General features: G+C 39.3%; 1 protein-coding gene across 42 annotated transcripts in view; it reads left to right on the forward strand.

Moving 5' to 3' along the window:
- The window catches only part of CCDC7 (coiled-coil domain containing 7), a 439,541-nt gene that overhangs the window by 349,275 nt on the left and 77,983 nt on the right, over window positions 1-12,283 (forward strand). The window lies entirely within an intron of this gene.

Here is a 12,283-nt window from a genome sequence, read left to right on the forward strand (position 1 = left end):
AAGACCACCCTGGCCAACATGGTGAAACCCCATCTCTACTAAAAATACAAAAATTCGCTGTGTGTGGTGGCATACGCTTGTAACTCAGCTGCTCGGGAGGCTGAGGCAGGAGAATCACTTGAACCCAGGAGGCAGAGGTGGCAGTGAGCCGAGATCACGCCATTGCACTCCAGCCTGGGTGATGGAGCAAGACTCTGTCTCACCTAGATGTTTTATGTAAGCCACAGGGTAATTATAGCAGATTTACAAACAATAAAGAGAAAAGAATCAAAGCTTAGAACTACAAAAAATATTAAATCACAAAGGTAGGCAGCAAAAGAGAAGGAAAAGGGCAAAAGATCTACAAAATAACCAGGAAACAAATAACAAAATGATAATAGTAAGTTCTTACCTATAAATAACCTTGAATGTAAATGGAATAAATTCTTCAATCCAGGACATAGATTGGCTGAGTAGATTTTTAAAAATACACCTTCTTCTTATTAGGGTGTATTAATCTTGAATACTTTCACTTAGGTGAAATTTGGTGTTAGTCATGCAATTCAGGGAAGACTTTAGAATACAAAGGATTTACTGACATGATTCTTTACTACTTTTATGTCTGGTAGTAGATTACATATGTCCATTGGAAGATTACATAATCAAGGCTGAACAACTAAAAGGTTATTCCCTTCAAGAATAAAATTTTGAGCCATCTTAACTAGGGAAGACCCTTAGGTAGCCAAGCAGTTGGCTGTGGGAAAGGGAGGACATGGAATTATTGGTGGAAAGAAGTGAAAAATATAAATTGAAGCCTTGTAATGGATTATAAATCCATTACTGTAGTACCTGTACATATTTTAATGTATATATTAGTCATGTTTTTTTCTCCCTTTCTGTCTCTTAGTCTTATGTGTTTTGATATTAGCTTTACAATTTACTTATAAATCAAAAAACATCTGAATGAGATCAGAAAGACAGAATAACCTTTATTAGTACCACTTTTGCTGTATCCCATACATTTGGTATGTTGCATTCCCATTTTCATTTGTTTCAAGAAATTTTACATTTCCTTAATTTCTTTATTCATACATTTGTTATTCAAGAAAATGTTGTTTAATTTCCATGTGTTAATACAATTTCCAAGGTTTGTCATATTATTGATTGTAGTGCATTTATTACATTGTGCTTCAAAAAATGCTTGGTAGAATTTCTTTATTTTTGAATTTATCGAGACTGTTTTGTGGTATAACTATGATCTATTCTGGAGAATATTCCATGTGCTGACAAAAACTGAGTATTCTACAGCAGTTGTGTGAAATAGTTTCTAAATGTCAGTTAGGCCTGTTTGGTCTAGTATGTAGTTTAACTTCAAAGTTTCCTGTTTTTCTACTTTTATATTAGGTTCAGGGTATATGTGGAGGTTTGTTACATGGGTAAATTGCATATTGCTAAGGCTTGGTGTATGAAAGATCTCATCACCAAGGTGGTGAGCATAGTACTCCATAGGTAGCCTTCCCACCCATGTCCCTCTCCCACTCTCCTCCACATCAGGCAGTCCCCAGTATCTATTGTTCCCATCCTTGTGTCCACATTGCAGTATTTGGTTTTCTGTCCCTGCATTGTCTTAGGATAGTGGCCTCTAGTTGCATCTATGTTGCTGCAAAGGACATGATTTTATTCTTTTTTATAGTTGCATCATTTCCGTGGTGTATTGTACCATATTTTCTTTATCCAGTCCACAGTTGATGACAATCATGGTTGATTCCATGTCTTTGCTATTGTGAATAGTGCAGTAATGAACTTTTGAGTGCATGTGTCTTTTTGGTAGAATGATTTATTTTCCTTTGTGTATATAACCAACAGTGGCATTGTTAGGACAAATGGTAGTTCTATTTTGAGTTCTCTGGGAAATTTCCACACTGCTTTCCACAGTGGCTGAACTAAGTTACATTCCCACCAGCATTATTATAGAAGTGTTTCCTTTTATTTTTCAACATTGCCAGCATCTGTTGTTTTTTTGACTTCTTAAAAGTAGCTGTTCTGACTAGTGTGATATGTTATCTCATGGCTTTGATTTGTATCTCTCTAATATTAGTGATAATGAGCAATTTTTCATATATATTTTCATATATTTGTTGGTGCATGTATGTCTTCTTTTGATACATGTCCTTTGCCCATATTTTAATGGGGTTATTTGCTTTTGCTTGCTGATTTATGTTCCTTATAGATTATGGATATTAGACTTTTGTCAAATGCATAGTGAGGGTGAACAGATCAGACTTTCCCCAGTTCCATAGGAAAGTCAGCCCTGTTCTCTCTAGGTATGGCAGCCTACTCAGGCTAGAGACGTCCCTTCCTTAGGAGCTGTTCAGGGTCTGGAAAGCATCCTAGTGCTTGGCAACCCCATGTAGGGTTCCCAGATTTCTCCCCATTTAGTCTTGGCATCTGGATCAATCAATATTGAATAGATTCAATATTTCAGTTGAATCTATTTGGTTTTCTCTGACTTTCCTATACCTGAATATTTATATCTTTCTCAGGGTTTGGAAAGTTTTCTGTTATTCTTAAAAATAAACTTTGCATTCCTTTTTCTTGCTCAGTTTCCTCTTGAACAGTAATAATTCTTAGATTTGGTCTTTTGAGGTTTTTAAATATTTTGTAGGCAATCTTCGTTCCATGTCATTCTTTGTTCTTCCCCCCTTCACTCTGTATTTTCAATTAGGTTTTCTTCAGGCTCACTGGTTTTTCCTCTGCTTGATCTATTCTGCTGTTGAGAGCCTCTAAAAATTTTTCAGTTAAGCAAATGTATTTCTCAGCGCCAAGATTTGTTTGATTTTTAAAATTATTTCAATCTCTGTTAAATTTCTGTGATAGATTTCTGAATTGCTTTTATTTGTAATCTTGTAGACTACTGAGTTTCCTTAAAACTTCTATTTTGAATTTTTGGTCGGAAAACTCTCATCATCTCATTAGCATCAGTCATTGTTTTTTTGCTTTTCCAATTGAAGAAGTCATGGTTCCTTGTTTGCTGTTATTTATTGGGGATGTATTCCTGTATCTTTGCATTTAAGGATTAATTATTTATTTGTCTTCTTTGTCTGGCTTGTTTTGGGTTTTATTAGATACATTTGCTTAGAGATTCTTTGCAATTTCCATATTAAATTTTTTTCACTGCCTTATTTTTGGCACTAGGTGGAGCCTTAAACCCAGGTTTCCCTTGGCCTTAGTAAACAAAGCAATGCCCTTCTCAAAGTGGGGGTTCCCAAAGGTGTGGGAAGGGTAGCTGGAAGTTTGTGCCCAGAGGACCTGTGGAATATACCTCCTACACAATAGTGCTTCTTATATGTTATTAAATTTTCTCTTGCTGCGTTTGGATCCTATATTTGTTTTGGGCCTTTGAGAGCCACTCTTAGTAGCCACTGATTTGACATCCCCTTTGGCCAAGTTACAGAGCAGTTTTGAGGGCTAAGGATGATAGGCTTACTTCTCCCTCTGTCTCCTCTGTCCTCAGGGATATTTCTCACTTCAGGCTCTCTTATTCTTCCCAGGGATTGAGGCAGGGACAAGTCGCTGTCTGCTTTGAGTTTTTGTTGCTTCTCTGTGGTCCTAAAAATTGTCTCATTCTCATAATGGGTTCTTGGATATTGCTGGTCATAATATTGATGCTGTATATTTCTTTATGGCTTTCTGTGGGGGAAAGGGAGTAAAGCCAGATTGCTTCTATGCCAACATTTTAAAATCAGAAGCTTTCAATACTCAATTATTGTTTAGTAATCTCCCACCAACTGTCTTAAGTCTGTGGGTTCTCATTTGCTCACAGATAATTCTGCTACAAACCTCACATCTGCCTGCATTTCTGGCTGCAACTATGTGCAAAGGATAATGGCATATCTTCTATCTCCCAAATATAGTATGGATATCTTTTTTTGGTAAATTCTATCTTAGAAAAATACAGAGAAATGGATTTAGCAATGTAGTTTCCTAAACTTTCTGTGCAGAGAATAGATCTTAGAAACATGGAGCAATGATACTTATTTGCCATGCCCAAAATGCTTCTTTCAGTTTCTCAAATGTTTTATATTTCACTCCATCAGAGGACCTTTGCACTTGCTTTTCACACTTTATGAGATATCTATTTCCCAGAATTCAGTATTTGGAATTCCTGAAGAAGAATAAATAAAATGTACAATATATTATAAGGCATAATTGAAGAATTAATTTTACAATAATGGATGACCCAAATTTATAAGTCGAAAAGACATCCCAGGACAAATTGGGAATTAATAACATATAAAAATAACCTGGTGAAATTTACTGGCCTTTTAAAATTATTTTAAATATACAGAATTCTAGGGGCATCAGACTTTACCCTCTCCTCCAAAAATTCCACACAAAATTTAAAAGACAATCTACTTAAGACGGGGGAAGAAACAAGGTGACCTCAGAATTGTTCTAAGAAGTCATTATATGAAAAGATACTTGCACACGCATGTTTATAAGCAGCATAATTCACAATTGCAAAAATGTGGAACCAACCTAAATGCCCATCAATCAACGAGTGGATAAACTGTGGTATGTGTATGTATATATGTGTGTGTGTGTATATATATACGTATATATATACACACATATACACACACACATATATATGTGTATATATATGCGTATATATATGTGTGTATATATATGCGTATATATATACATATGTGTATATATACATATATAATATATATCATGGAATACTACTCAGCCACAAAAAGGAATGAATTGATGGCATTATCAGTGACATGGGTGACATTGGAGTCTATTATTCTAAGTGAAGTAACTCAGGAATGGAAAACCAAGCATTGTATGTTCTCACTCATAAGTGGGAGCTAAGCTACGAGGATGCAAAGGCATAAGAATGACACAATGGACTTTGGGGACTCAAAAGCAAAGGGTAGGGAGGGAGTAAGGGATAAAAGGCTACAAATTGGGTGCAGTGTATACTGCTCGTCTGATGGGCGCACCAAAATCTCACAAATCACCACTAAAGAACTTATATAACCAACACCACCTGTTCCCCAATGATTATGGAAATAAAAACATAGTTTAAAAAATAAATAAAAAATAAAACAAAAGGGAAAAAATTTGCTAGTGGGTCATTAGGGGTGATGGTGAGTGGTGCCACTTCCACCCCTTGATTACTGGACCCATGAATCCTGGCTATGGGGGAACGAGTACCACAAACTGGGTGTTGATTCAGAGCATATACAGCCTTCTGGAGAACTTTGCCCCAGCCCTGTAAAGTATTGCCACCTAATTGGCATTGTAATTGTGACTTCAAAAGGCCATTCCACCTTTCTATCAATCCAGCTGCTTCAGGATGATAGGGAACATGGTAAGACCAGTGAATTCCATGAGCATGAGTCTACTGCTGCACTTCTTTATCTATAAAGTGAATACCTTGGTCAGAGGCAATACTACGTGGAATACCATGATGGTGGATAAAGCATTCCATGAGTCCATGGATAGTAGTTTTGGCAGAATCATTGTATGCATCATAGGCAAACGCATAACTGGAGTACGTGTCTATTCTGGTGAGGACAAACCTCTGCCCTTTCCATGATAACAGAGGTCCAATATAATCAACCTGCCACCAAGTAGCTGGCTGATCACCCCGAGGAATGGTGCCATATAGAGGGCTCAGTGTTGGTCTTTGCTGCTGGCAAATTGGACACACAGCAGTGGCCGTAGCCAGATCAGCCTTGGTGAGTGGAAGTCCACATTGCTGAGCCCATGCGTAACCTCCATCCCTGCCACCATGGCCACTTTGTTCATGGGCCCATTGGGCAATGACAGGCGTGGCTGAGGAAAGAGGCTGAGTGGTGTCCACAGAACGGGTCATCCTCTCCACTTGATTATTAAAGTCCTCCTCTGCTGAGGTCACCCGTTGGTGAGCACTCACTTGGGATACAAATATCTTCACAGTTTTTGACCATTCAGAGAGGTCCATCCACATACCTCTTCCCCAAATGTCTTTGTCACCAATTTTTCACTCATGCTTCTTCCAAGACCCTGACCATCCAGGCAAACTATTGGCTACAGCCCATGAATCAGCATATAATTGCACATCTGGCCATTTCTCCTTCCATGCAGAGTGCACAACCAGGTGCACTGCTCAAAGTTCTGCCCACTGGGAAAATTTCTCTTCACTGCTGTCCTTCAGGGATGTCCTAGAAAGGGGCTGTAGTGCTGTAGCTGTCCACTGTTGGGTGGTGCCTGTGTATCATGCAGAATCATCTGTGAACCAGACCCTACTATTCTCTTCCTCTGTCCACTGATCATAGGGAACTCCCCATGGGGCCACTGGTGCAGGCTAGGGGAGAGAAGGCAGGGTGGCAGGAGTGGGGACCATGGGCATTTGAGCCACTTCCTCATGTAACTTACTTGTGCCTTTAGGAGCTGCTCGAGCCCGATCATGTATATACCACTTCCATTTGATGATGGAATGCTGCTGCGTATCACCTACTTTATGGCTAGATGGGTCAGAAAGCACCCAGTTCATGATAAGCAGTTCAGGTTGCATTGTGACTTGATGACCCATAGTCAAATGTTTAGTTTCTACCAAAGCCCAGTAACAGGCCAAGAGCTGACTCTCAAAAGGAGAATGATTATCTGCAGAAGACGGCAGGGCCTTGCTCCAAAATCCGAGAGGGCTCCACTGTGATTCACCTATGGGGGCCTGCCAATGTCTCCAAACAGCATCCCTATCTGCCACTGACACTTCACGCACCATTGGGTATGCTGGGTCATATGACCCAAATGGCAGAGCAGCTTGCATAGCACCCTGGACTTATTGCAGAGCCTTCTCCTGTTCTGGACCCCACTAAAAATTGGCAGCCTTTTGGGTCCCTGGATAAATGGGCCAAAATAACACACCAAAATGAGGAATGTGTTGCCTCCAAAATCCAAATAGGCCCACTAGGTGTTGTGACTCCTTCTTGGTTGTAGGAGGGGCCAAATGCAGCAACTTATCCTTCACCTTTCTAAGGTGATATTCTAAGGAATATCTTGACAGGCCCCACACCACTGGATCCCTAGAAATTTTACTGAGGTAAAAGGTCCCTGAATTTTAGTTGGATTTATTTCCCATCCTCTGGCATGCAAATGTCTCACCAATAAGTCCAGTGTGTTTGCTACTTCTCACTCTCTGGATCCAATCAGCATAATGTCATCAATATAATGGACCAGTGTGATATCTTGTGGAAGGGAAAAGCAAACAAGATCTCTCCAAACAAGATTATGACACAAAGCTGGAGAGTTGATATATCCCTGAGGTAGTACAGTAAAGGTATGTTGCTGGCCTTGCCCACTGAAGGCAAATTGCTTCTGGTGGGCCTTATGGACAGGAATGGAGCAAAAGGCATTTGCCAAGTCAGTGGCCACATACCAGGTATCAGGAGATGTGTTAATTTGCTCAAGCAATGAAACTACATCTGATACAGCAGCTGCAGTTGGAGTAAACCCTTTGTTAAGCTTACGATAATCCACTATCATTCTCCAAGATCCACCTGTCTTCTACACAGGCCAAATGGGAGAGTTGAACAGGGATGTGGTGGGAATCACCACCCCTGCATCTTTCAAGACCTTGATGGTGGCAGTAATCTCTGCAATTTTTGTAAGGATGCGATATTATTTTGATGTATGATATTTCTAGGTAGAGGCAGTTCTAATGGCTTCCATTTGGCCTTTCCCACCATAACAGCCCTCACTTTACCAGTCAGGGAGCCAATGTGGAGGTTCTGCCAGCTACTAAGTATGTCTGTCCCAATTATGCATTCTGGCACTGGGGAAATGACCACAGGGTGAGTCCAAGGACCCACTGGAGCCACTCTATGTTGGATCTGAGCTAAAACTCCATTAATTACCTGACCTCCATAAGCCCCTACCTTAACTGGAGGATCACAATAACATTTTTGAGTCCCCCGGAATCAATGTCAGCTCAGAGCCAGTGACCAGTAGTCCCTGAAAGGTCTGATTATTTCCCTTTCCCCTATGCACAGTTACCCTAGTAAAAGGCTGGAGGTCTCTTTGGGGAAAGATGGAAGAAAGATTAACAGCATAAACTGTTGGTAGTGTAGTGGGATCCTTCCTCAAGGGGATCCAGCCTTTCCTTCAAGTAAAGTGGTTCAAGTTTACAAACTGTAAACTGGTTCAAGTCTGGAAATTGGTTGAGGGTCCATGATTCTGTCTTTATAATTCAAATCAGTCTTTTGTCCACTTGACATGGAATTTTCTGCTTATATAAATTAAGTAAAAATGCAGTGGGCTTCCTAGCAATTTCACTTCTAGAAACACCGTGATTAATTAGCCAATGCCAGAGCTCTACATGAGTCAGACTATTCTGATTGCTACTTTGCCTCTGCTGTCCATTGCAGTAACTATGCCCACCTTGCCTTTGATGGTTGAGTGCCACCGCTTGGCCTCTGCCATCTTGGGATCCAATTATTCCCACTGCATTTAAATTTTATAGCTGAAGTGACTGTGGTTCCCACTGTAAGATCGGCATACAGAGAAGAGCAATCACAGAGCTCTTCAAGGATGCAGGTGCTGCCCACACAAATCTATTTCTCGAAGTATTGGTCAAGATTATGTCTTCTGGACCCTCCCAGCTGGGATGAGTAGGTCTAAAGTGACTAATCCACTCTAGCATCCTGATCTCCTAAGACTTTGGATCTTTTTCTCTACATTAAACCAAGAGAGATCAGGCATTTCCAGCTCGCTCACAGTGGGCCATCTTTTAATCCATATTTCAGCTAACAAAGCCAATAAACTATTAGAATCTTTTTTAACTCCCCAGTCTGCAACATTAAATGCAGAATCCCTGCTTAGTGGGCCTAAATCAATAAATTAAGCCTGTTCCAACTTTGTGTTCCTTCCACCATTATCCTACACCCTTAATATTCATTCTCATGCATGTGCTCCAGATTTCTGCTTAAATAAATTAGAAAACTCAAGCAGTTCTTTTGGAGTGTAGTGCACCTCCATGTGGGTTACACTTTGAACCTCAACTCCAGGGGTCTGCCAGGACTTCAGCCTAATTATAGGTCTAGAAGCAAACAGGGGTGTTGGGAGTGGGTCCTGAGGAAAATCAGCATTGTCTTGCCTGGCACCTGCCCCAAGGGAGGCCATCACTGTTACCTCAGGCAGTGCAGGGTTAATTTCCTCAGCAAATGTGGAAGGGCTGATGGCAGCGTGGGTCATAGATTGGGAAGGGGATGTTGCCACCACTTGGAGTGGGGAGGCTGTTTCCTCCGCCCAAAAAGTCTCATCAGAATTTAGGAGCTCAGTGCCTCCAGCCTCATCAGGGTCCTCCCACATGTCCCCATTTTAAGTTGCATGGTCCCATTCTTTTCCAATCAATGTCCTCACTTTAATAGTGGATACCTGGTGAGGTTGTGCATGCATCTTTTGTTGCAGGTCAGCCACTCACAGGATAAGAGCTTGTGTCTGATTTTCCACAATTTCAGCTTTTTTTCTACAGAAGATAAGACTCTCACTTAGGGCAACCTTAGAAGATTTGAGGCTTAGTATGTGCTTCTAGAGCCGGGAGATAGAATCCCTGACTTCATTTTCTTTTATCACATTGTCTAGTGAACTTAGGAGCAACCAACCAACTTCTTTACATTCCGTAGTTCTTCACATATGGTCAAAGGTATTATGTATAGAGTTACTAAACTCCTTGCATCTCTTGAGCAGTGAATCAGGAGTATCAAATGCATTTATTTTGCATAACTCTCTAAACAGTTCACACCAAGAACTATCAGTGTTCTCCATACTATTAGAAGTAGAATCCTTAGCATTTTTGGGTCTAATCATATTAAGCAGGCAACTCCAGAAACCCCAAAGGCAACTAAATACTCCATCCTTAAAATTCTGTTCCTCTAGAACCACTCCCAGTACCAAAATCTGTATTAGGGTTCTCTTGAGGGCTGGACTAAGAGGATAGATATATAGACAAAAGGGAGTTTATTAAGGAGTATTGACTCACACAATCAAAAGGTGAGGTTCCTCAGTAGGCCATCTGCAAGCTGAGGAGCAAGGAATCCAGTCCTATTTCCAAAACCTCAAAAGTAGGGAAGCTGACAGTGCAGCAGAAGGCCTGAGAGCCCCTGGAAAACTACTGGTGTAGGTCCAAGAGTCCAAAAGCTGAAGAACTTCGAGTCTGGTGTTGAAGGGCAGGAAGCATCCAGCACAGGTGAAAGATGTAGGCTAGGAGACTAAGCCAGTTTAGTCTTTCACATTCTTCTGCCTGCTTTTATTCTGGCCATTCTGGCAGCTGATTAGGTGGTGCCCACCCAGATTGAGAGTGGATCTGCCTCTCCTAGTCCACTGACTCAAATGTTAATTTCCTTTGGCAACACCCTCACAGACACACCCAGGAACAATACTTTGCATCCTTCAATCCAATCACATTGATACCTTGTTTTATTTCATCATAATTTGAGAAGATAACTGATATGATTTTGACTTTTTAATATTTGTTTAGACTTGTTTGTGGCCTGATATGTGATCTTCCATGTGCCAATGAGAAGCATGTGTATTCTGCACTTGATCTTAGCCAAAAGGCGAAGTGATGAGAATGTGTATTCAGTAGTTGTTGGAGGAAATGTTCTGTAAATGTCTGTTAGGTCCATTTGATATATAGCACAGTTTAAGTTTAATGTTTCTTTGTTGATTTTCTGTCTAGATGATATCCAGTGCTGATAGTGGGATGCTGAAGTTTCCAACTATTATTGTCTTGGGGACTCTTTCTCTCCTTAGCTCTAATAATAATTCCTGTTTAGAACTGGGTTCTCTAGGGTTAGCTTTTTATATATTTATAATTGTTATATCCTCTCTCTGGATTGATTTCTATATCATTATATACTAATCTTTTTGTCTCTTTTTTAAAATTTAAAGTCTATTTGTCTGTTGTAAGTATAGCTATTTCTTAACTCTTACTTTCCATTTGTGTGCATAATCTTTTTCGATTCATTCACTGTCAGTCTATGTGTGTCTTTACAGGTAAAATGAATTTCTTGTAGGCATCATATAGTTGCTTCTTGGTTTTTTGTTATCAATTCTGTCTGTCTATATCTTTTAATTCAGGAATTTAAACCACTTACATTCAAGATTGTTATTGATAGATAAGAACTTGTTCTTGTCATTTTGTTGTCTTCTAATTGTTTTGTATATTTTTTATGTTATTTCTTAGCTTTGTAATTGGTGGCTTTTTATATTCGTCTTTTCATTTGTGTGTCCCTCTTCCAGTATGTTTTTGATATGGTTTGGATGTTTGTCGCCTCCACCATTGAAACTACCATTTAATTGAACACTTTAAATGGGTAAATTATATAGTATGATATACACTCCTAATCACTACTTTCTAATATAAATTTCCCACTAATAACTTTCAGATATTTTAACATTTATTCATGAATTTAACTATTTCTCAAAAAAGAAAAAGACATCCATCTATTATGTCTAGGTAACAACTGGTTTTAGTTTCCAGTGTTTACAGGTTTCTAGTAGGCACATGTGCTGCTGGAACTAGATTTCACTGACAAAACTTTAGTCCCAGTAGTTGACTTTAGTTCATCAATCCTAATCACCCCTTTCTAACATAAATTCCTCCTTAATAAATTTCAGGTATTTTTCCTGTTATTAAACATGGTTAGACTACTAAATCCAACAAAAGAGTCAAATTGTGTAAAAACTCCAATGGAAAAGTACCCAATTTTACTCCTTGTATTTCTGCAAATTTAATCATATCCTAAGCTACGAGGTCCACATGGTAAAGGGACCTAAGAGGGCATGTTTTCCTCAATCTACAAGATATCTTATTATTTTCCATCGCTGGTGCTTACTTGGTTTAAAGTTAACCTAAAAATCACATTAAAATATTTCTGGATGAGTCAAAGTATTTCTGCACTATAATAATTTCCTGTGATTATGAAGATCATTGTTTTCAAGTTGCTAGGTGGAAAAAAAGTTATGTTTCGTCTTACCAGGTATATCCATGTGGTATGAATGTGATTCAATATAAACTTTAAAGTCATGTTATTATCATAAATTCTGTAGGATATTTTAATTTTGCGTTACAGATAAGCACTGTTCAAAGTATTGTGGGGCATCAGGTTGTGCAACAACTTTGTTATCACCTCGATATGTGGTCTTGGTCGAATCACTAAACATTTCTATGCCTCAATACACTAAGGCTTATATGATTGCTAACAGACCTTCCACTCCTAATGTTTAGTGATTTGGCAATTCAGAC

The sequence above is a fragment of the Homo sapiens genome, chromosome 10 (assembly GCF_000001405.40).
Source record: "Homo sapiens chromosome 10, GRCh38.p14 Primary Assembly".
In the NCBI taxonomy this organism is placed as follows: Eukaryota; Metazoa; Chordata; class Mammalia; order Primates; family Hominidae; genus Homo; species Homo sapiens.